Raw genomic sequence first — 23,442 nt, 5'->3', positions numbered from 1 at the left:
ATCAGAGGTTGAAATGAGCCGAGATCGCACCACTGCACTTTAGCCTGGCCAAGAGAGTGAGACTCTGTCTCAAGAAATCAAAAAAAAGAAAAAGAGCAGAATGAGCTTCTCATACATTAAAAATTTCCCAGTAGCATAACAGTCTGGCAGGGGAAGGCCAAAAGGGAACTGGGTGAGCCCATGGCCTGAGGTTGTCCCCAGATCCACCTTCACAATGATGGGGGTCTCAGCACAGGAGATGGAAGTAAACAGGATTGAGGAGGGGAGAACTGACTCCCACCACCACCCCCTTCCATTTTGCATGATTCAGTGTCCAGAGGGTTGCTGTGGGTCTGGGAGGGCTGCTGGGCCCCATGGCAGGCACTAGGAGGCTGATGTTTGGCAGCAGGAGCCGATGGCAAGGGTGAGAGCAGAATGCAGTAGCAGCAGGTTTCTGGTAGAGCATCCATTCTGAAACCCAAAAATAAAACTCTAAGCCCCCAACCAACTGATGGATTCCCGTCTCAGCCAAGGGCATTCCGAAGTAAACCTGAAAATCTAGTTCAGGCCATGATGGGAAGAGGTGGGGTTAGACATGCTTCATTATACCCTCCTCCCTTTGGAATTCAGGCACAGCTGACCAGCATTAACATTCAAACAGAGATCTTAAGACTAACAAAACAGATTCTGCGTAGCATAAGACACCAAATTCCAACCTGACTCTAGTATAGCATCATGTGACAGATAGCAGGCCTTGAAAGAAACTGAAATATTTTACCCCAAAATATATTTCTTTGACATATTTTGAAATGGCCCTGTAATGCTGTCTCTTGTGGGGAAAATTCCCATTCTGTAGAGAGTCCTCTGCCCTCTCGACGTCTTTTCCCTGATCCAGGAGCAAATTAACTAAGAGTCTGGCGCCTTTTTAGGTTTGATAAGAGCTCTGATGCGTACTCCATGGAGGCTTCATCTGCATGATAAAACCTTGGTCTCCACAATCCCTTGTCTTAATCCAGACATTCCTTTCTATTGATTCTAGGTCTTTAAATAATAACTCTTTCAACCAATTGCCAATCAGAAAATCTTTGACTCTACCTATGACCTGGAAGCCCCCGCTTCAAGTTGTCCCATCTTTCTGGACAGAACCAGTATACATCTTACACATATTGATCAATGTCTTATGTCTTCCTAAAACATGTAAAACAAAGTTGTAGCCCAACCACCTTGGGCACTGGTCTCAGGATCTCCTGGGGCTGTGTCACAGGCCACAGTCCTCATACATGACTCAGAACAAATCTCTTCCAATATTTTGCACAGTTTGATTCTTTTCATTGACAACTCAGAGCAAGATGAAGCCAGGAAAGAGGGGCATGGAGAAGAGAGGTGCACCCCGACGCAGGGAGGCACAGCCATAGCCAAGCATACTGGGATTAAGGCCAGCCAGGATCCAGGGATGGGGAGAGAAGCCCAGTGTCACAGGTCAGATCTGCAGGACGAAAATACAAAAGAGCACAGAACTAACACCCCCACTCTCACCACGACTTTGGACACCATCGGGCTAGGGGCAGGGACTGTAGCCTCCATAGGAAACGAAGTCCCTGAGGCCAAGGACAATCATTTCAACTTTGTGTCTTAGGTTCCTACTGGCCCTTCAGGTAGCAGGTGCCAAGTAAACATTTGCAGGGGGTGATACGACACAGCACGCAAAGGCTTTAAGGGTGGAAGCCTGTAGAATTGAGACAATTCTCCTCTGGAAACCAAGCTCACCAGAGGGTGACACAGCCCCTCAAACAGGGAGAATTCTTCCCACAGGGCATCGCTGCAGACAAGGGGCTGAGTATACTTTTCTCTCAGAAAGAATTCCAGGTTCCAGTATGTCTTCAGAGGCTTCTGCCTGCTTGGAACTCTGCTCCCGGCCTTCTGACCACCCAGGTCCCAGAGGTCCCGACCTCTGTTGGGCTCTCACAGAGAAGGTTCCTCCCGCCACTCCAACCTAAGCTTGTCAGCACCTTCCCTGGCACCTGCCCCAACACATGGAGACCAAGAACCTGGTGCAGGCTCAGGACTGGGGACAGGGACTGCAGGCCGTGTGTCCTGATGTTTCCCTCAAACCCGAGTGCACAGACTAATCCACAGATGTAGCAAACATGTTTGCCCATCTCCAGCACTCCTAGGGAGCCAGGAGCAGAACTGGGCACAAATGGCTCTGGAGCTCAATCTGGGGTTCATGGACACACTCAACTGGTATTAGGGCTTCTTCCATCTCCTGGGAGAGTCTGCACCCACAGACAATTTTCCATGAGATAATCAGCTCTATTTCCCAGGCCCAAACACTTACAAATGCCCCCAGGTCCCTTGTGCTGGGCAGCTGGTTCTCCCAGACGTCTACCTTATTAGTTGCTGACACTGAACCCGAACTCTTGGAGTCAGTGACCTGTCTGTCCCTTTGCCGGGTAGTTGCCATCCTAAACATGACTGGATTTCTCCAATGGACAAATAGTCAGTGATATGTATAGATAATTCACAAAATTGAAATACAGCTAGTTAAACTTTTGAGAAAATGTTCTAGCTTACCAGTAGTCATAGAAATACAATTTACATTTGATGCAACATTGTCAATAATGTGTGTCAAGAACTGTAAGAATATGCATATGATGTGCCTCAGTTACCCTCACTGCAAATAAATCCTAAGGAAGAAAACAAAAATACTGGAAATGCAAGGCTCAAAAGTTATCCATCGCTTTTTTTTTTTTTTTTTTTTTTTTTTTGAGACAGTCTCGCTCTGTCCCCCAGGCTGGAGTGCAGTGGCGCGATCTCGGCTCACTGCAAGCTCCACATCCTGGGTTCACGCCATTCTCCTGCCTCAGCCTCCCAACTAGCTGGGACTACAGGCCCCCGCCACCACGCCCGGCTAATTTTGTGTATTTTTAATAGAGACGGGGTTTCACCATGTTAGCCAGGATGGTATCGATCTCCTGACCTCATGATCCACCCGCCTCGGCCTCCCAAAGTGCTGGGATTACAGGCATGAGCCACCGAGCCCGGCCCATTGTATTTTTAAAAGACCTTTTTAAATGTGAAAAATAACACACAGAAAAGGCTTAACACACTTACAGGGTACTCTCACCGTTGGCCCTGTAAGAAAGGTGAGCAACCTGGGAACAGGGTCCCTCCTCTGGAACCCAGCCCACTGTCTGTGCGTCCAGCAAATCCCCAAGGCCCAGCCAAGCCTTTCCATGGCATGATGACAGGAGCAGGGTCACAATCCTCTTCTCTTCTTACCAACCTCTCTTGGTAAGTCTCCCCAGTAAAGCCTGTTCCTTAGTCCATATGAATTTTCAGGAATTCTTCCTGAACCTGAGACACAACAGGGGTGTTCACAAAAAGACCCATCTTGCAAAATGGCACAAGACACAGAAAATGAGCATCGGAGACAAAAGGTGATTTTTTTTAAAAGGCAGAGCATGAAAGAGAGAGGGGATTAATGCACCAAGGCTGTTTCTCAGGCCCCCAGTCTTGCCCATCATTGCCCCTGCCCAAGCCAGGCAGCTTCCATGCCTCTCATCCCTACATCTCCCATCCCTGGACAGCTCACCTGGGCTCATCTTCTTTCCAAAATTTAAAAAAAAAAAAAAAAAGGCCTGAGTATTCATCTTCCTGTGAAGTACATATTAAACAGTTTCCATTTGTTTGTACAGACAGACGGACTGAAATTTGAAGCAGCCATTGTCTCTGCTACAAAGGGCCTCTGCAGAATGAGGGGTGGGAGGCACAGGAGCAGGCACAGCCTGGGTTGGCTTTTTCTTGTCCCTGAAAGCAAATCATGAGGAGCCCTCGCAGGAGTGGCTGAGCTGTGTACACAGGGGAGGGGATGAAACACTGACTGGAGCCCTGTCCTCAGCAGCCTGGGAAGAGAGGATTGGGATACCAGGTTGGGGGCAAGAAGTGGTGGAAGCAGGAAGGGAAGCCAGTCAGTACTGGGTACGGGAGCGGGAGGAGCCTGCTCCAGGGATGGAGATGGGCCCTTCTCCATAGGGGAGAGGAAAGAATGAAACATGTAGTAAGTGCCCACCACTTACTGGGCACTGTGTTAGGGGCTTATACACATGATCACTAATAATCCCTGTGACTCGGCGATTCAACCCCTAACTTCACTAGCAGAATGCACCTGCATCCCAGGACTTGTGGAAAAGGCTCCCATAACGTTGAGTGAAAGAAACTGGAGACAAAAGAACACAAACACTTGATTTCACATATGTGTGAATCCCAAACACATGCAAAGCCAAATCATCGTGTTCATGATGTGTGCCAAAGGGGTCAAACTCTAAACAAAAACAAGCAGAAGTTCTCTCAGGGCGTAGGCAGGGAGGCCTTGTGATTGGCAAGAGACACAGAGTGCCTCGAGGGGCCGGTGGTATCCATCTTGTGAGGTAGTGGTGCTTATGTTGGGCATTTGCTTTGTGAGAATTCATTAAGCTTTACACTTGTTTTATTATGTACTTTTCTGTCTGTTATTTTTCACATTTAAAAAGGCCTTTTAAAAGTGCCTTGTGTTTCCAATATTTTTGTTTTCTTCCTTAGGATTTATTCACAGTGAGGGTAACTGAGGCACATCATATGCATATTCTTACAGTTCTTGATACACATTATTGACAGTGTTGCATCAAATGTAATTTGTATTTCCATGACTACTGGTAAGTTAGAACATTTTCTCAAAAGTTTAACTAGCTGTATTTCAACTTTGTGAATTATCTATACATATCATTGACTATTTGTCCATTGGAGAAATCCAGTCATGTGTACGACGGCAACTGCTCAGCACTTTTGAAAGGACAGAAGGATCCACAGAGAGGAAGATACTAAAGACACTCAGAGGTCAGTGCTAACAGAGGTATCAGCAAGGCCCCCTTCTGGAGTGTGAGAGGCAATGAGCTGGTGTCCCTTCCCTCTCTGCAGCCACAGAACTGCGTGGGTCCTGCATCCACTGAAGCCGCTCAAGGAGTGGGCCCTGGGGAAGCAGAGTGAGCAGACCTCACACATGCCTGGAAGGAGCAGCTCCAGGAGGCAGCAAACCAAGGTGGAAAAAGAGCAACTGGGACCCAGCAGGGGGATGGGAAAAGCACACCGAGGGGTGTAGACAGTACCCGCAGGCAGGGTTGGGAAAGGGGCACTCCATCTGGGCCAGGAAGGAGTTTTGGAGATGGGGATGTGGGAGTTGCAGGGGGCCGCTGAAAGAACCATGAACAAATAGGAACTGTGTGGGATGGGGAAAACATCGGGCATGTTTGAGACTAGTCTGGAGACACTGGAAGAAACCACGACGGTTTTGAATGCCATGCTCGGGAGTTAAGCCTCATCTTGTAAGTCAGCATTTCCCAAAGTATCTGATGAGTCAGAATACTAATTTAGCAGGAGCTCAGCTTAAAAAGAAAAAGAAAAGAAAGGAAGGAATTTGGAAATGCAGAACCCTATGGACATACATATTGCAAAACACCATATTAAAGAATTTAAGCTGATTTTCCTACTGGACTAGAGACTATGAATATTTCAGAAGGGATCTGGTCTGTATCACTTTCCAAATTTATCTGACCTTTCCTCTCTCCTCCTTTCTCAAGAAGTATCTCTCAGAATTGATGGTCCATGGATCAGGCTGAGAATGTCTCGGTAAACTGGGTGCCAGTCTGTTGATACAGCAAAGGACGGAAGCCAGCTATATTCTGCTCTCCTCTACACGCCCTCACCTTCTTCTCACTTGCCCTACCTCAGCAGCAATGTGGTCACTTCCAATCAAACCCTATTTTTGTCACAGTAGCACAATCATACCTACATGCTAACTATGAGCTATTAGGGTGGGCCTGTCTGTCTCCAGCCCAGATCCTCTTCAGTGATATACTCATTCCCTCCACATATAATTAATGAGCTCCTACTATGTGTCAGCCACTGTCCCAGGTGCCTAAAGTATATCTATAAAGGAAGCCTACAAAACTCCCTGCCCTGATCATCCTATTAGAAGGAGAAAAGAACTTCACTGTAATCATAATAAATAAGGAAGGTGGGCATGGTGGCTCACACCTGTAATCCCAGCACTTCAGGAGGCAGAGGCAGGAGGATTGCTTGAGCCCAGGTGTTTGAGACCAGCCTGGGCAACATAGCAAGACCTCATATCTAAACAAATTAACAAATAAGGAAATGATGCAGTATGTTAGAATGTGACAAGGGCTCTGGAAAAGGTACATGGTGGTGAGGTTCTGGACCTGGAGCCAGGGGTGGCTTCAATTTTACATCAAATGGTCAGAACAGGCTGCATGAAGATGGAGAGTAGGGAAAAAACTGGAAGGAAGTAAACGAGGGCCAAGCAGGCATCTGAGGACTAGCTTCCCAGGCAGAGAAATCAGCCTATGTAAAGGCTCTCCGGTAGGACATGCTGGTGTGTTCCAGGAACAGGAGGCCAGTGTGGCTGAAGCAGATGTGAGCACAGGCAAGGCGGAAGGAAATTCCCATACCAGAGAGGTAATTTAAACCATCAGCTCCTTCCTGACCTAGAACCTCCAGATGCCAGAGCCAGAAGGGCCTTGGAGATGGCATGATAACCTACCACTCGCTGGACAGATAAGAAAATGAGATGGACAGGGTGGAGGAACTTCCCCCAAGGGGCACCAGAATAGAAAAGGACTCCTGGACAGTCCTTCTTAAATCCAGCTCTTGCTAAAGCGGATATTGCCTGGACTCTGTGCAGGGCTGTGCTCCTTCTTCCTCTGGACTCTACTAATACCACCCCCAAGTGGTAAGGGGAAAGACAGCCCCCGTGACCCCAACAGCCAGCCTCGGCGACCCAGCTTGCGGTGGCTGTCGCTACAATACTTTCCACCAGGGGGCGCTGGCCCCTTGCACAGCTTCTCCCTCCCCAGAAACTCCCGGTCCTCGGCTCTGGAGTGCTTGCGGCCCCCACCGGACTCGGACCCTGACTCCAGCCCAGTCAGTGTTTCCCACCCGTGCTTACCCCCTTTTGCCTCAGTTTCTCTCTCTTCCCTCTGCCCTGAGTATGGGGCGGGAGAGCCCAGCCCCCAAGAAGAGCCCTGAAAAAGAGACCCCAGCCTGGGTCTGAGGACAGAGGAAGGACAGGGGACGGGAAAGGTGGCCCGGGGGCAGGGTGGGCGGGGTGTGGAATGTGCAGAGTCACCAGTGTTGTCTGCCCGTCCTCCCTGGAGGCTGGCTCTTGCTGGTTCCCTGTTGTGTTGGCTGCTGAGGGGTCCCCAGGGGCCCATTTGGAGCCTGTGAAGAGGACAACCAGGGGTAAGGGCAGAGGAGAGACAGCGCGGAGATAGAGGAGCTCGTGTTGACTGTGAAGCCTTTGCTGGGCCAGAGCCCCTGGAAAAGGAGGCAGTTCCTCCACCACCCCATTCATAGAATTTATCACTTTCCCCCAGCAACGGCCCCAGGGAAGGGGAAACTGAGGCACCAGTGAAGACCAGCCTCCAGCCCCCCGCCTTTCCAGCCCCTGTATGTCTCGAAATGAGACCACGGGTGCATTGTGCCCCAAACCCACTCTTCTCTGGAGCCACAGCTGGGGTTCCCCAGAGGGCTGGAGAGGGTGGTGCTGCTGCAGGCCCCTTATCAGCCCTGAGGATGCAGACACTGTGAAGCCAGCCACGCCCACCTGCACACATGCCCAGCTCAGGAGAGGGAGACAGTCCCAAGAGCCCCCGCCCCACCATTCAACATGGTTCAGGGACAGGAAAAGCCAGGCCTGGGGGAAGTGGGCAGGGGCCTTGGCACGGCAGCTCCTTCACCACACTGCCCTCCAGCTCTCACCCTCCCCCGCCCCTCGTTTCCCTGCCCCTGACCTGCTCTCCAGGCCCAGAGACCTAAACCCCGAATCCTGATAAGTAGAGGTCAGTGGGAGTCCCCAGCTGACCAGGGAAACCAGCTCCGCCCCTGAACTTTGGTCTTGTCAGGAGCTGGACAGAGGCCAAGAGTAAGGTTTCCCCTCTCCAAGTCAGACTTCCTTCTGGCTGTAGGCTGGGGAAATCCCAGAAGCTGAGCTGCCCTGCCCCAAGGACAGGGCTGCCCAGGCCAGGGCAGGAGTGCTGCTGTGCCCTCCTGCAGGCAGAGGTGGGTAGGGGTGGAGGGCAGGCCTGAGGGGCGTCAAGGGAAGAGCTGGGGCTGTGGCCACCAAAGAGGAGGAGCTGGGAGGTGAGGGAGGGGGCTGGGGGATACCAGGGGATGAGACTGAGGAGCCAGAAACCCAAGAGAGCATTCACCCCCTCCATTCTTCCTGAGTATCAGGGTTTTATCCCTATCAGTCAGCTCAGGGGAGAGGGTGAGGGCTGGGGGCAAAGCAGAGGGAGAGGGGTGGTGGGAGACAGGGAAGACTGCTGATTTGTCTGTCAGGAACAGAGTGGGCCCTGCCAGCCCAGAAGGAAGGGACCCTGATGGGGCCGAGGTGAAGGAGGAGACAGGTGGCCAGGCCCACTGTCCCCACACACAGCTGGGAGGTGGCAGTGCTCTCCTCCCACAGCCTGAGGGCGTGGGAAGGAGGGAAATGGATGAACAAGGGACTGGGAGTGTGAGGTGTCCACATGGCACGGAGATAAGAAGGCAGCTGAGCTATGGAGCCATCCTGGGCATTAGAATGGTTATTCTTGTCCTCGTTTCCCTAGAGATCTCATCACAGGCCCCTCGCAGCAGCTGTGACTACTCCTCTTCCAGCACTCCTGCTGATGGATTAGGGGACCATGCCCAGAATCCCAGCCAAGGGCAGGAAGCCCCATCTTCCCTGCAGTGAGCAAACCCCACCCTCATTCTCATCCCTTCCTGTGCTGCTAATGCTCCCTTCCTGGCCAAAGCCAAGCCTCCTTCTCTTCCTCCTCCAAGAAGTTCCCCGAGACTGACCCTCTCCACAACTCACTCCAGGGCTCCTCATCCTCACCACCATAACCAAATACTCTTTGTGTTCTGGGCGTTGATAGGTTGCTGTGTAAGTGTTCTAAGCACTATGGTTTCCTGGGTGTGGCTCAGGTCTCTCCCATTAGGAGCAACTCCAGGGCAGGGACCTGAATGTCAGGTCACAAGCCAGCACACAGGCCAGGGTGGGGAACTGCCAGCTGGATGTTTACAGTACAGAATCCTGATTACATGGCCCTCATCTCTCCATCAAAACCTGTCTGGATCTGAACTTTGCATGACCCCTCCCCCCACTTTCTTCTCAAACCCAGGCCATCTGCTTCTCCCAGCTTCCCATTCTCTGCCAACAGTTCTACCATCTTCCTGTCACCCAGACTTGAAACCTTGCAGACATCTTTGACTCTTTCCTCTGACACATCAGATACAGGGTCATATCAAGCCCTGCCTTTGCCGGGGCTCTGACCCCAATCACCTCATTTCATTTCAAGTCAACAAACATTTCCAAGCCCCTTCCAGGGGCTGGCTGATGTCAGGTGCTGGTACACAAAAGATGAGTAAGACACCAGCCTTGCCCCGGAGGGACTCATCTGAGCGTAAGTCAGGCCATAATAAGCGCTATTCTAGAAACACAGAGGGCTCTGGCAACCAGAGGGATGGATTTCAATTTGAAGGCTGAGGAAGGAAGGCTGGATTGTTTCTGTTTCTCCTTTGTGGAAGGAATGGAGCTGTGGCTCTATGGGGACTGGCTGGGTGGCCTTGGACAAGTTCCTCAACCTCTGAGCCTTTGTTTCCTCAACAACAATATGGGAATGATAAAAAACTTTTTAAAAAATCCTTGCTGCATTTGGGGGGGATTGGCTGTCATAATATCTAACATTTATTAGCTTTCATTATGTACCAATGCCTGTCCTAAGTGTTTTGTATGTATAGTGTCATTTAATCCTTTCAACAACCCCCACAGTGGAGGTGACATTATCATCCTTATTTTCAGATGAAGAAACTGAGGTTCAGAGAGGTCAAATACATTGCCCAAGCTAGCTCACCTAGTAAGGATTGGAGCCAGGATTTAATGCAAGATAGTTGTTTTATAATCTGATCCTACTCACCGGTGGAATTTTATCTGCAAAATAACTGTAAATAGCTAACTTTTCTTAGCATACTTTGTGCCTGGCTCTATGTTGATTGCTTTACTTGCATTTAATCCTTAGAACAACCCTGAATGGCAAATACTATTATATTGTGAGGAAATTGAGGATCAGAAAGGTTAAGTAACGTGAAAGTTTGGGCAGCTAGTTCTCTGCAGAGCCAGACTTAAACCTGAGTCTGACTCCAGAGTTCTTTCTTTTGCCCAGCATCCACCCTCAGCTCAGCCCATCTAGTCACCTCCCAGACCCATGCAATCACCCTGTGTTCTGCCTTCTTGCTTTGTTAACACTCCCACCCACTCTACACACCACCTCTGAACTGTCCCATCCCCCTTTCCAATTCCTACCCACTGCTCAAGACCCAGCTGAAATACCACCTTCTCACAAAGCGCTGCCTGCATGCTGTTCAAGCCAGCCCTAGCTTCTCTTCCTTCAGACAGCACTCAGCAAGTGACATATATTTTGGTGCTTGGTCATATTTAATTGACAGTGTAATTAAATATTATTTGGCTTTGTCTTCTAATTATTTAATGTTTAGAAATCTCGTGTCCCCAATCAGAGTGCAAAAATTCTTTGAGGGCAAGAACCTTGACTTTCCCTTTACTTATTTTGCCTCCTCCTCTCAACATTTAGAGTGCTAGCACTCAGTCACCTTAGATAAATTAGAGACTTAAAGGGCATTGCAGAGCCAGGAATTCCCAGATTATTAATCATGCTCATATCTTATTATATGGAGGCATATCTATACAATATATTACCCCGAATGCAGCATAAATGTGAGCTGAAGGCAGCTCCCTGCTGGGCTTCTGGGACTGAGGGTCCTTTGAAGACAGATCAGCCAAAGGGCTGCTGTGCCCACCCCTCCCCACTGGCAGTACCCATTCCTTGGCCTTCCTTCCTTCCTATCCTCCGTATAGGAGAGTGCTGAGAGATTTACTAGAAGGAAGGAGAGGGGAGCCAGTAGTGGGGCTGGGGCATAAGGGGCTGCTGACAGCACTGAGCCAAGTGTGTCTGACCCTCCCGCGTCTCCAGTGACCTACACAATCAGGCCCAGCCTCATGTGCTAGCAACCCATACAGTCATACAAGGTCCTGCACTCAGACCTGTGCTTACTGTCTTCATCTTGAAATTCTTAATAATTTTTGAAAAAAGGACCCCAGACTTTTATTTTGCACTAGGCCCCACACATTACGTAACTGGCCCTGCATACATCCACAAAGCCAAAGCCCACATAGATTACAGTGAAAACACAGCCTAATGTTGAACAGCCTGGGCTCCTTCCTGGCTCTGCCACTTATGATTGATGAGGGATTCGTGGGGCAAGTTACCAAATCTCTCAACCTGCTCCCAGCTCTGCCTCAGTCTCACCGAGTCTTCATCTATAAAGTGCAGGCCCCCTTTTAGTGCTTCCAGGAGGGCCAAAAGAGAAATGTAGGGAAAGAGCTTCATGCAGTGGCTAGCACTCCACAGATGGTGGCTACTATGAGTGCTACAGTGATCACTGCTGAGACAGGAGATACAGATGGGAGTTAGGAATGTAAATGGAACTGGGAAGAGCTAGAGGCTTAGTCTTGAGACCAAAGGACTCTTACTGGAGGTCCAGAGATCCACAGAAAGAAACAGGCCCAAAGAGTGCAGGCCTCCCTTCATTATTAATCACTCTTTCCCTCCCTCTAATTTCCTAATCATACCTCTCCTGCCTCCTCAGCGAGGGCCTGTGTTCTATCTCAGGCAATTTTCTTATCATGTCTTGAACATGAACATTGCTTGTCTCTGCTTCTGAAACTTTGCACAAAGCATTTCCTCCTAGAATATCCTTCCTTACTCTTCCTTCCCAGCTCATGCCTATCACCTCCTCTGCGAGACCACCTTTGGCTAGTACCTTCTCTACCCCATCTCTCCTTGATTCTGGAGCAGCATTATACTGCAGTTGCTCGGATCCTGCTTAGAGGGAGCAGATGCCATATCTCCATCTAGAAGGTAAATGCCTGAGGCCAGACAACTGAACCCTTTGAAATTCTGCCCGCCACATCAGTACGCCTCTCTCCGAAGCATGAGCTGTGTCCAAGCCCGCCTCTCCATGTTTAGTTTCCATCTTCATCAAAGATAATGGAACACGCCTGCCCTTTCTCACCTTCTCAAAATGACAGAAGGTTACCACTCTGAGAAGAAGGTTGAACTTCTGAGAATTGGAGTTCCAGAGAACTGCAAGATAATCACTATTTATAAGCACTTCTGTCTTTGGCAACATGGGTGAAGGAAACACCACAATGCAATAGAAAAATCCCTCAGAAAAAGAGCCAGGAGAGCCGGCATCTGAATTCCAGCTCCTGAGCAAGGAACTTCTCCAAATTCAGTTTTTCTGAGTTTGGTTCTGAGTTTTGAGGATAGTGCCTACCCACCCCAGGCTGTGTGTATGGCTGGCCCCTCCAAGATACCTGGGGCAGAGATTTTATTTTTTTTCCACTTATGATTGAAGGAAAATGGAACTCTGGTTCTAAGCAAAACTGTCAATTTCTGGAAACTGTTCTGCAGTCCTCTTTCCAATTCTTTTATCCCACATCCCTTCTACCCTCTTCCATTATTCAGTGGGAGGAGGCCCCCCAAATGTTTTCCTAAATTTTTTCATTTAAACCTGAAATAATTTGAATGGTAGAGTCCATTCTTACAGGAGTGAGGTAAGTTTTAGTCAATTGCCTTTCCCAGGTCAATTGAACATTGGGCCTTTCATTAGTAACAATGATGTGATTGATTGTACTCCTCATTCCAATAGTTATCTCTGAAAATATTTTGATGGAGATCATGGGGAGCCCTTTTTATCCCCGAAGTTCCCTTGTACCCACTCAAAAAACTGTAAATAAACCTTACTTTGTCATTTTGTTCTGTTATCTATAGCTACATAATAAACTACCCCAAAATTTAGCTGCCTAAAACAGGAATCAGTTTATTGTAAATTATGATTTTGTAGGTCAGGAATTTGAACAAGGCTCAGTGGGTGATTCTTCTGCTCCATGAGGTATTGACTGGACTAACACAGTGGCATTCAGCTGGTGGCTCAGCTGGGCTGCACAGCCCAAGATGGCTTTGCTTATATGTCTTCCACCTTGCCTAAAGTGGCGAGAGGCTGGACTCAGCTGGGTACTTTCCCCTTTCCATGTAGTCTCAGGGTCTGTGTATGTGCTTTCTCTAGTAGGGAAATCAAACTTCTTAGCAGCTAAAGAGAATTAAAAGAGAGCAAGGTGGGAGCTGTAAATCCTCTTAAAGTCTAGGCTCAGAACTCATACAATGTCACTTCTGCTGTATTCTACTGGCCAAAGCAGTCAGAGGCCAGCCAAAATTCAGGAGAAGGGGATATAGATCCCACCTCTTAAGGGAGGCATGTCAAAGAATTTATGCTATCTTTAACCTACCACACAAGGTAACTTGATGGGGACTCAGAAGGAAAGATGTATGAGAGAGAAAGGAGGATACCTGGGGTAATGAAGACTAGAGTTTCTTGATGTAATGGTTGAAATTTCAGACTTGGCTGAGGTCACTAAAGAAGGTAGTGAACACCTCAGTCTCCCAAGGTATCTCTCCTTTCCACATCCCAGACCTAACTTGGCCTGGTCAGAACCCAGAAATTACCCTCAATGGATAATCCAAAATCTAGCCTGTTGTCTAGAACCCACTCTACCCAAACACCTAACCCTCTTCTGAGATCCTCTTCTCTCCATCTCCAAACAACTTCCATCTTCTCCTTTTGTCTGAAGGAATCCAGATCCTTCCCCCGTAAGCCTTACTATCTCCCATGACTGGTGTCTCTAACCAATATGGTCACCTTCCATTTAAGGGGCACTTACTTTGTACCAGGGTCTGTGCTAAGTGCTTTATATGCGTTATTACATTGACTCCTTGCCAGAAAGTATTACTTTTATTTTACAGAAGAGGAAACTAGTACCCAGAGAGATATGCAACACATCAAAGCTCAAGTGGTCCAATTCAAAAGTCCAAGCTTTAAGCACGATGCTATACATCTTCTCATGTAATTATCTACTATGATTTAAATGAACTACTCATGTTCTTATGCCTGGGCCTTATATCCTAGGCTCCCACAAACAGTGTTGGGGGGCTGAAAGCCCCTCAAAATGCTGTCAAGGACTTCTTTAGATTGCAGGGGAAGGGAGGAGGAAACTCAGGGACCCTAAATCCTTAAAAGAGGGAACGCAAGAAATCTCTGTTGAAAACTTATGGTCAAGATTTTTGTCTTAATTTATGGCATGGTGTGTGGGTGGTGGTGAGGATAGATCTGTCCATGATATCATAGAAAGCTGGTTACAGAGAGATAAAAGAGATAATTCAACAGGAAGGATTAAAACTGAATAGTTCATTTGGCAGTATAAAAGCACCATAGTTACACCCGCTTAACTGTAAGTTAAGCTCTGACAACCTCAATTCTGTGGAATGCAGCACCAAATCCGGAAGTGAAAAAGGCCTTTAAGCACCAAAAATAACTGACACGAATTGAACCAAAGCCAGGTCCTTAGGCCTCCACACGGAGCCTTACTGGGTTACACTGGAAAAAATATTTAAGAAGTTTGACCTCTGGCTTCCCAGCCCACGGCCCTTGAAGAGCAAGGTGAGGTGTGAGTGAAAGGCCTTCTAGAGAAGGAAGCATTTTGAGAACAAAGAGACAGCAAACAACCTCAAAGATTTGCTTTAGGAGCAAAGGACAATAGGACTCAAAAGTAGACAAGCATTGCGTTATATGCCACTTCATCTTAGAAAAAGTATTCTAACATCTCATTGTATGGTGCCTGGTGCTCTAGCAAGCCCTTTCCCACACAGTAAAACAGGCAGCCAAGGAAGAAACAAATACTCAGAGAGGCTTAGTGACTTTTTCATGACCGTACAGATTAGCGAGTGGCAAAGCTGGGAATAAACCCAGACTGCATGATGTCTAACCCAAGCTCCTTTCCTCTACACCATGATTTTGCCCTTTCCTCTACACCATCATGCCTCCCTTTTTCATAACGATGACCATGAGTCATCAAGAAAAGGTTAGTTTACGTCTAGTAAACTCTGTGGAAGAAAACAAGGAAGTGGATAGTACATTATTGTAAAGTATTCATTAAAAATTATAAAAATAGTGTGGCATTCAGGATAAAGTTCAGCTTTCTGTTCTCAGCTACATTATAAATTATTGTCCTTTACCTTTTACACCTAATTGCCATACAGCACAATAATATTGATATGCAACATCTTCAAAAAATGCCTTGTGAATTTTCTAATATCAGTCACTCCCCTCTCTATTCTACTGCCTTGATTCTGTTCCCTCCTCTCTCTCCTGAATGCTCATAGAAGTTCTGGTTAGAATCCTGCCTCCAATTTTGACCCCTTAAATTTATCTTCCATTCACATAATTCTGACCAAGCCGATAGGGAAAAAGTCACAGCTTCTTAGCAGCAACTGAGGCCTCACTCCACTATCCAGCTCCTGCCAACCTTTGCAGCCTCATTTCTTGACACTTTTGGCTCCACACTTGAACTCCTACAGCACCCAAAGGCTTGTAACTAAGTTTCTGTCACATATCTGGTGTTCTCTGCTCTTGTTATTTTCCCCTCCACCTGAAATGCCCTTTGTGCAGTTCTTTATTTGATTAATTGCTGAACATCTTTAAAGACCCAAGCTTAATTGTCATCTAGACACCTCTTCTTGGTGTCCCTGCAATACCACAATGTCTCTATCCTTGCTTGTATCAATTGGGACGCTTGTGGTTGTGAGTAACAGAACTCCCACACCTAAAGTAACTAAAACAATAGGGACTTATTGTCTCTTCACAAGAAGTCTGAAAGTAGATGAGTCCAGGGTTGGCTTAGTGATATCTGGGTTCTAAGTCAGCACCTCTGCAATTCTCTCAGCCCTTCTGCAGGATGGCTGCAGCCACTCCAAACTTGACAACATTTAAAACCAGGAAAGGTATATTTGCTTGCTAAAGCTGCCATAACAAAGTACCATAGAGTGGGTAACTTAAGTAATAGCAATTTTATTTCCTCACAGTACTGGAAGCTAGAAGTCCAAGATCAAAGTGTTGGCAGGATTGGCTCCTTTGGACGCCTCTCTCCTTGGCTTATAGATGGCCTCTTCTCACTGTGTCCTGACATGGTCTTCCCTCTGTTGAATGTCCATATTCTAATGTCCTCTTCCTATAAGAATACCAGTCATACTGGATTAGGGTCCACCCTAATGGCCTTATTTTAACCTCTTTACCTCTTTAAAATACCTTATTTCCAAATACAGTCACATTCTGAGGTCCTGGGAGTTAGGACTTGAACATATGAATTCTAAGAGAATATGATTCAGCCCATAACAGAAGGAGATTCAGGGATAGGAGTTCCTCTCCGTTTTCAGGTGAAAAATCTTTGCTAAAATCCTTCCAGTAGACTGACCAGGATTTGGTAACCTGCCCTTTTCCTGGTTACAAGGAAAGATAGGAAAGCATTCTCACTTTTATAACGGGAAGAGGGCTCTGGAAGCCAGAAAGGGTTGGGAGTGACTACTGGGTAGGTTACCAAACTGTTGCACTCTGCTCCCACATTGAGTCATAGTTGTCTGCTTATGGGTCTACCTCTCCCATTAGCTCTTTGAAGCGGAGACCAGTGTTTCAATCATCTGTGTACCCCCAGCAAAGCACTGTGCCTGGTTCATAGTAGGTGTTCAACCAGTATCTGTTAAAGGAATGCACAGATAGAATTTAATGAACTAGATGAACCTGTTTGTGTTATATTTGATTACACTAAACTCGGTCCATATGTTTACTCTGTTCATATGTTTGGCTTGCATAACATATGAACACCTTTAATATTTAACTTTATTTAAAGCTATGGTTCACACCTTAAATGATTGCAGGGAGTATTGCTAATAGAACTGTTATTACAATAAGAAGAGACCAAATTCTGTAAGCTTTGTCTCCCCAAAATCTGGCATGATGAATGGCACACAGTAGCTGCTGTATGAATTTTTCTGGAATGAATAAATAATGGATGAATTAATAATTAAAATGTTTTTTAAATGCTTTGAAAAATATAATTATACAAATCTAAGCAGTTATTGCATTTTCTAGAAAAACATCATTCAGAACTGGGCAGCCCTTCTGTTCTGTTGGTACTAGCAAAGGTGGTATGTCAGCGAGTATTTATATCACCAAGCCATTTCTATTCTAACAAAGAATAATTTTGGCTGGACACAGCGGCTCACACCTATAATCCCAACACTTTAGGATGCCGAGGAGGGGGGACTGTTTGAGCCCAGAAGTTTAAGACTAGCCTGAACAACATAGTGAGATCTCATTTCTACAAAAAAAAAAAAAGAAATATATATATATATATCTCCAGGTGTAGTTGTAGTGGTGCATGCCTGTAGTCCCAACTACTCAGAAGGCTGAGGTCGGAAGATGGCTTAAGCCCAGAATGTCGAGGCTGCAGTGAGCTGAGATCATGCTACTGAACTCCAGCCTGGGCAACAGAGTGGGACCTTGTCTCAAAAAAAAAAAAGAATGATCTTAGTGAACTTGGCCAATAGGCCCATATTGCTCTGTTAACACTGACAGCAATTTCAACTGAGAAATAAAGATACATGAGTAACTATAAGATTGAACTGTCTGAAAAGGTATTTGATTTCAGTTCTGTGGAATTGCAGGAAGCAAATCACAAATCCACACAAAGCACTGCTGGATTCTAGTATGAGTCACATTTGCTCCATGAAACCCCACATATCTGACCTTCCATGTTCTACAGAATAGGGAAGAACCAAGCACCTAACTAATGAGTGTCACTGGTTGTGAGGGCAAGTAAATGAGTTGGTTGTTCCCCAAATTCTGGCTACCCTCCTAATGTTAGAGATTCTCATGATTTGCATTGAATTCCCACTTTTCTCTTCGCATCAAGTTGAGAGGACTCAGGCAGATAATGTGAGAATTACATGGAGTAAATGAGAAGCAGGGGAGGCAAAAAAATCAGAGTTACCACAAGTAACTGGGTTCCCAGCAGCAGTGTATTTTGGCACCGTAAGACAAACTGTGTAACTGAGAGTTGAGTCTTCTCTGGCCTTATTTCAGACCCAAGGGTCCCATGCCTCCCACACACAGTTCAAGTAATGAGGCTCAATTAAAACACTCAGGTTCAATGTGTGTTTCAGGGCTTCAGGGGCAGTCTCAGGGCAAAATATTTTCCACATGGAACTTAAGAGAAACTAGTGCCGTTCTGGACCAGACTGGCATGCAGGGGCAGGAGAAGACTTGGTCTGCAACCAACATCTGCATAATGAGAAGCTGGACAAGATGGCACTTGTGTGTGTTTGTGCTTCTGCAGGGCCTGTTCTCTGTGCCCCAGGTGCTTTCCTAAGTGCCAGGGGAAGGAGGTGCATGCTAGGGTGTTTTCCTCACAAGTTTTGAGTTTTTCTTCTTTCCTTAAAGTATTGGCAGCCCAAATTTTTGCTATGAAATCAAGACCTGTTGCTATCATGATGGTGAGTTTTTAAAACTTGTGCCAATGAACCCGGTCCTCACACATTATTGCAAGCACATTAGCCAAGCCCATTACAATAATCTATTGTTGAGAGAAATATATCCTGGCAATACATGTATCTAGGAGTTCCGCCTTCTGAATTGATGCCAAAATATGATAGATTCCCAGTTCCTTATGATTTCCAACTACTGTACATGAACTCCCACTCCCCTCTCCCCACTGCCAACATAATGACTAGCTTACTTTGATGTTCTCTGCTTTCCACAGTGGCTTTAACTCTCTGCCAGAGTTTCATGCACTAAGCACTCTGCTATTTGGAATCTCATTACCTGCAACACTAGTGACTGGCATCCCACAGATCAAAGGCACAATAATTCATGAGACACTGCACCATCCTGCAGTGACTTCTGAAACATTCTGAAAATATTTGATTGCGTTTGGGATAATTTAACACTGGTGTTTTAATGTATTCCACAGAAGTTGTTTTCATGCTTGCTCCAAGTAGTCTGTCAAATTATACAATAATACATGCTAATAAATTAAGATGATATAGACAGGCTGGAATGAATAACAGAGAAAACTTACAAAATAAAATTGACAGGAATTAATGTAATTGATGTAAAGTCTTGCATTTAGGTTTAAAATCTACTTAGCAGAAGAGACCTGGGTTAACAGTCCTCATAAGAAAGCCATGAGGAGTTTGACTATCAACTCAGCAGTGTACTATGATCTCTGAAACAGTCAATCCTATCCAAGGCCATCTTAAAAAAAAAAAAAAAAGCCCAGATTAAGGAGGGAAGAGTTTCACTCTCTACTTTGCTAGTCAGACCAGGTCTGTGGAGGATTGTGTTTGGCTATGGAAGCCACATTAGAAGAGGAAAGGAACTAAGGATGAGGATGTTTCTTCTGGCAACTCTGGCATAATACCTGTCTTCAAACAGTTGATGGGTTGTCACTTGGAAGAAACATTAAATTTAATTACATTAAATTTAATCACAGCACCACATCAGGAGTCATGTGTAGAGTCCACGGAACACATTTCAGCTCCATATAAGAAAGAACTTTCTACAGATTAGGGTGATCTAAGCATTGAACTTGGCTGAAATCCAAGAGAGGCAAAAGAAGACTTCTGGGCCATGCTAATTTTGATTATTTGCCTGACTGGTAGGTACTGAACTGTTTTATTATTTTCCTTCAACTGATCCATATACATTTTTATATACTCTTTGTAGATATATTTTATGATGAAAAACATTGACTAGTTTGCTGGGCAAAGTCATGACATCATCATTAGGCTTCAAGGAAAGGCTGGTGGCAACTGCATAAGAGGATGAGATAGATGACTTCTGACATTCGCTCCACCTCTAAGATTCTACAAGTCCATAAATACATGAGTAATTATTAAAGCAAAGTTATTCTAAGATATTCTTAAAGTAACAGTCTTAATTAACTTGATTTGAAGCCTCACTCCATTACTTGCATTTGTTAGACTATGATCCCTATGTCTCTAGTACAGTGATTATCATTTTTATTCGTCACTATATAATGATAGGCACAGCCTCTGCCCTCTTAGGATGACAAATGATATGGACAGTCATAAAGAAAACACAATGAGAGCCGGATATGAATAGTGAATAAATACAAAAGAAAGCAAAAAGGTTTATGTGGTAAACAGGTCAAGGTTGCTGGTATTATAAGTGTGGGGAACAAATGCCAGGCCTTGGAAAACACACCCTAGATAGGTTAAGACCAGAAGAAGCTAGCTCTCTGCTCCAACTAACTTAGCAGGGTTCCTGGAATAAGCAAGCCTTCAGAAATATATAGATTCTGGCAGTCACATTTGGTCAGGGGAATCTTTCTCCTGGGCTGCCAGTGGGAAGGCAGGGGTGGGGGTGGCGGGGTCAGCAAAATAGCTTAAATGGTCATTTCCTCATGTTAATCCTGTCTCCCATTCTGTTCCTTCGTGATCTCTCACTACCCTCTCCTTTGCACTGATTTGAGAGAGGGGAACCAACACCTGAAAAAGGGAAATGAGAGGAAGGGGTATTTGTGGACTGTGATGGACGTGGAATTGGGGAGAGTCCTTGAGTCCCCAAGTCACTGCTAAGTAAACAGTCAGACTCTCTGCTCCTTCTGGTTGAGCTGTAACTTTGGGCAAAGTTACTTCTGCTTTGGACTCATTTAACCTTTAGTCTGGGGATCCCCAATCATGTTACTGACATTAATTCCTCTATCCTCACAACAACCTTGAGTTGATGGGAAAAATAAACCAAAACACAAGATCTTATGAGCTACTGGAGTCCACTGTGGTAAAATGCAAATAATAAAGTTTTCTTTCTTATAAGAATTTATCTTCACTTTACTGAAGGGGAAACTGAGTCACAAAGGGTGAGAATAAATCAATTTCATATTTGCCATTCACTCTTTTATTTCATCAATAATGTTTTAATGTTATACTATTTTTCCTTCTGGAAATCCTTATTATGGTCATTCTCTGGATGGGGAAACTGAAGCACAGAGTAATTACAATGTATCGCCTCAAGCTAGGCCTCATAAAATAGTGCCTAGATAAGAAACTCTTCCAGAACCTAAATTCTAAAAAAGAATTTTGTCCTGAGAATTAGATTCCTACCCAAATCTAAAACATTAAATCCCCACTCAAAGCTTGCGAAATGAGGTGAAAATTGCTGTAAAGTTTGAATTGTTGGTATTAAAGAACAGTGCGAGGTCTGGGATGGCAGCAAGCGTAATCAACATCCTTGAGCTTTGTAAAGGGTTTCAGAGTTTACAAGTGCTCCACAGCTGCTATTCATTTATGTCCTTATCAGGGACATCAATAGCGTCCCCTTTTAGAGATGAGAAGGCTGGACCTCAGAGGTCAGTGGCTTGTCAGAGAACAGAGTTAGCAAAGGACAGAACTAGGACTGAAACTCAGGTCTTCTGAATCCAAGTTTAGTGAAAACAAACTGGGGGAAAGAGGTCACCAGCCTTTTACTGGGAGACTTAGTGGAGACTGAGGGAGGAGACAGAAGCTCATCAGCATCAGCCCATCAGCATACATGATAGCAGAGAAGGAAATTATCATCATGAGACATCTCAAATGATGACAGGGAACTGCTCTGGGCAGTGTGAGGACCTACTGACTGTGGCTGTAACCCCTGAGGGCCTGCAATCTAAGACAAACCCACTAGGAAGAACAAATACTTCTGTGACATACAGATGGTAGAATAAGACAGTCATCTACTACAAGAGTAGAGAGGAAAGCATTCACATCATATACATGTCCAGGTTAGTTTAGGGTGTGGAGCATATAAATGAAAATGGGGTCAATAAAGAAGCACAAGCCAGGGAAGAAATGCACACGCTCACACACAACAATCCAGAAAGGGTTTTTCCGAAGAAAAATACTTTTAGAAATTATTTCCTTTCTCTTTTTTTAATTTAAGAAGCAGTGAAATGGCTGTGCTGTGGTGACAGTGGAATTGAGAGCATTAGATTTAGAACAGAAACTTATTCTAGACATATGGAACAATTGTAAAGATGGGCGGGAAGGGGGTAGGAAGGTAATGTCAGTGGACAAAGACAGCTTTGAGCAAGTGGAAATTCAAGAGAGATTACAACCTGTCTTGACTTTTATGCTAAGTGTCTTAAGTGTTTCCACCCCCACGCTTTTCAGAAAGCTCATGCTCTCCCTATTTCAGGAACATGAAAAATCTCCACGTTTTGAAAACCTGTTTGCAGCAGATGGAGAAGGCAGCAGTGCCATGGTGAAGGAAATGGTGGATAGGGGCATTGGGTATGCTGCGCCATTAGTCCCTGGCCATCCTAATGTCCCCAGATCCTACCACCACAAGAGAGGATCCCAGCCACAACTCATTTATTCAGACCCACTAATTATTAGGTAATCTCCAGTTGCCTTCATCAAACCCAAATTCACCTCTAGAGTTTCAGGCCAGTGATTAGACTCTTAATGTAAAAACTTAATGTTGAGTTCTGCTGGAATATAAACATTTCTCAATATATCAATTTAGACTCCAGCCAGGTAGAGAGACTTGTTTATCTCTGTTGATTGTGTTTACTCAAGACATCCTTTGTGACGTTAATTAGAGAAGCAGCAGCAGAGAACCCTAGGAGTCTGGCTTGAGTAAAAATATGCAGAAAGAGTCCCTATACTCTGACTCCTGGCCCTTTGTAGAGCACAGGCTCCTTGGAGTCAACCATGCTGGCTCTAACCATGACCATTTGAGCTATGAGCCAAAGATGAGCAATTTCAGACTTTCAGAAGAAACTACTCATTCCCGATCACCCTGGTTTCTGAGTTGTAACAATTACTAAGATTTGCATGGGTGGTATGAGAAATTGAGGATTCTCATAAGAATGATTCTTATGATTATTATCTTTGCCAACATTTTTCATCTGCCATATTTAAAATATACCATTCTCTGTTCTAACCACTCTACATGTATTAACACATCTAATAACAATCACATCAGTAGATACTGTAGGTATTATGTTCACATAGATGAGGAACTGACACAGAGAAGTTAAGTCACTTAACTAAGGTCACAAAGCTAGTAGATGAAGGCACAAGGACTTAATTTCCGTTTAGCCGAACCCCAATATTTTAAAGGAATGTTCTAGCAAACATCTGATATCTACATGTAAGTTGCCGTTCTAGGTACCATGCACAAGATGCAAAGAATATATAGACAGTTCCTACAAAGAGCTAGTGGACTAGTTGCAGGTATCGGTAACCCTCTCTATGGTGTTTAAGTTCTGCTCCTTATTTTGTTCACCTACAGAGTAGGAAGTTCTAACTAGAAAAGACACAACAATGTTATCTTTTTTAAAAAACAGGTAAGGTAATTTTAGGCCAGAGGGAGCCAATTTACTAATTAATTTATCAAGAG

The 23,442-nt window shown here is 45.4% G+C and overlaps 3 annotated features.

The window, feature by feature from the left end:
* Nucleotides 435-729: a silencer, noted in NCBI's record as "tiled region #527; K562 Repressive non-DNase unmatched - State 21:Repr". NCBI's record gives its function as "represses a minimal TATA promoter and a strong SV40 promoter by Sharpr-MPRA in K562 cells {active_cell/tissue: K562}" and the evidence as "EXISTENCE:reporter gene assay evidence [ECO:0000049][PMID:27701403]".
* Nucleotides 5,082-5,593: an enhancer, noted in NCBI's record as "H3K4me1 hESC enhancer chr1:157127246-157127757 (GRCh37/hg19 assembly coordinates)". NCBI's record gives its function as "activates a minimal SCP1, AML or CMV promoter by ChIP-STARR-seq in primed H9 embryonic stem cells {active_cell/tissue: H9 hESC(primed)}" and the evidence as "EXISTENCE:reporter gene assay evidence [ECO:0000049][PMID:30033119]".
* Nucleotides 8,596-8,890: a silencer, noted in NCBI's record as "tiled region #11922; K562 Repressive DNase matched - State 3:PromF". NCBI's record gives its function as "represses a minimal TATA promoter and a strong SV40 promoter by Sharpr-MPRA in K562 cells {active_cell/tissue: K562}" and the evidence as "EXISTENCE:reporter gene assay evidence [ECO:0000049][PMID:27701403]".

The sequence above is a fragment of the Homo sapiens genome, chromosome 1 (assembly GCF_000001405.40).
Source record: "Homo sapiens chromosome 1, GRCh38.p14 Primary Assembly".
NCBI lineage: Eukaryota > Metazoa > Chordata > Mammalia > Primates > Hominidae > Homo > Homo sapiens.
This window is presented reverse-complemented; position numbering and strand designations above follow the sequence as displayed.